Source organism: Homo sapiens, chromosome 3 (assembly GCF_000001405.40).
Source record: "Homo sapiens chromosome 3, GRCh38.p14 Primary Assembly".
Taxonomy (NCBI): Eukaryota; Metazoa; Chordata; class Mammalia; order Primates; family Hominidae; genus Homo; species Homo sapiens.
The window spans coordinates 116,503,825-116,505,581 of NC_000003.12; positions in this window are offsets into that span (position 1 = coordinate 116,503,825).

Sequence of the window (1,757 nt, forward strand, 5' to 3'; positions counted from 1 at the left end):
TTTGAAATCTAATTGCCTTTTTAATGGCTTTTTCAATTATTTTAATTCTGAGACAGAGTAATCAACCCAGAACCCCTATATTCAAATCAAAAAGCCCCAGCCATAGAAAGACCTTTTTAGTTTTCCAAGTGTAGAAACTTTTTGTTTTTAAGATAATTAGTCAAGAGTCAGAGATGGGAAGGAAATCTAAAGAATCAGTATGCCCATAAACCATTCTCTCTTATAAACATTTAGAGAACATGCAAGAGTAAATGGCTCTTTTATGAGGTCTGCAGAGAAACATAATACATAATTTGCGTTTGTTGTAATTTTTAAAATTTCATTTCTCCCAAATTGCTTAAACATTTTTTCATTAGAGAAAATAAACTCACACACAGTATTACCAAACCTTTAAACAAATACCCCTTCCTGTCTCTCATGCTGTTCAGTTTCTGTAAGAGTCTGTAATCCCTTCTCACCCTTTCTTCATATCCATGCAACGTCTTTCCTTCCTTTCTATGCAATTTTTAATTTACTTCTATCAGTTATTTTCTCTATCAGCCTCTACCCATAACTAATTTTGCCTCATTCTTAACACCTCTTTTCAGTATCATTAATTCAGTAATATATTCATCAGCAAAATCTTATTAAAGCACAAATAGTATTTGCAAGGTGTGAGCTCGGTACGAAGGATAGAGTGGTGAAGTGTTTTCCTGACATCTTAAAGCTCATAGTATAGGACACATTAAAAAGAAATAATTGCAAGTGTAATCATTATTCCTTAACCAGTCCTTTTGCAAACTTTAAATTTGGTCTGTGAATGTGTGTTTAGATTTGTTTTTCAGTGGCCTGCCGATTCAAGGTATTAAAGTAAACCAAGCTTCTCTCAAGGCTGCCAACTACCACTACCGTCTTTTAACAGATAAGGTGTTTCTTGCTTAATAAATAGTTTCTCAGCATTCTAAAAATATATCTCCCCAGGATCTCCCTGTCTAACTAGCTAAAGGAAAACAACTGGTGAGAAAGGAATGACAGATGTGGTCACTGCTGTGTTCCTTTTGTGGTTTTCACCATTTAACGTTTTGCCTTTCATTCTCCTATTCATGTATTCACTTATTGATTTACTGAATTATTTATTTATTTATTTATTTATTTATTCATTCATTCATTCATTCATTCATAAATACATATGAGCCAGGGAGTATGCAGGATGAGTAATACCTAGTTCTTGTCTTAAGAAGCTCAAAATATAAAGTTCTATCTCAAAGTTATTTTGCCATTCAAAAAAGGTCAATCTCTCCACTTTGATTAAGTGGAGATAATATATATAGAGAGAGAGAAAGAGAGAGAGGTGGGAGAGAGCAAAACACATTTAAATGTAAAAAATACTTTTTTTTAGTGATGGAGTATTCTACTAGATAGTATTGGATGTATATGTGTGTATGAGAGAGAGAGTGTGTGTATGTTTATGTACATATATGTATCCTTACCTTACACTTCTATTAGTATCATATTCCTATAGGGATGTTTCCAAACTAGCTTTGACATAAACCACATTCTAAAATAGCCTTTCAATTATGCAGAAAATAATAGTTATAAAATAATTTTATTTTTATTTTTTTTTTTTATTATTATAAGTTTTAGGGTACATGTGCACAATGTGCAGGTTAGTTACATATGTATCCATGTGACATGCTGGTGCGCTGCACCCACTACCTCGTCATTTAGCATTAGGTATATCTCCCAATGCTATCCGTCCCCCCTCCCCCTACCCTGCA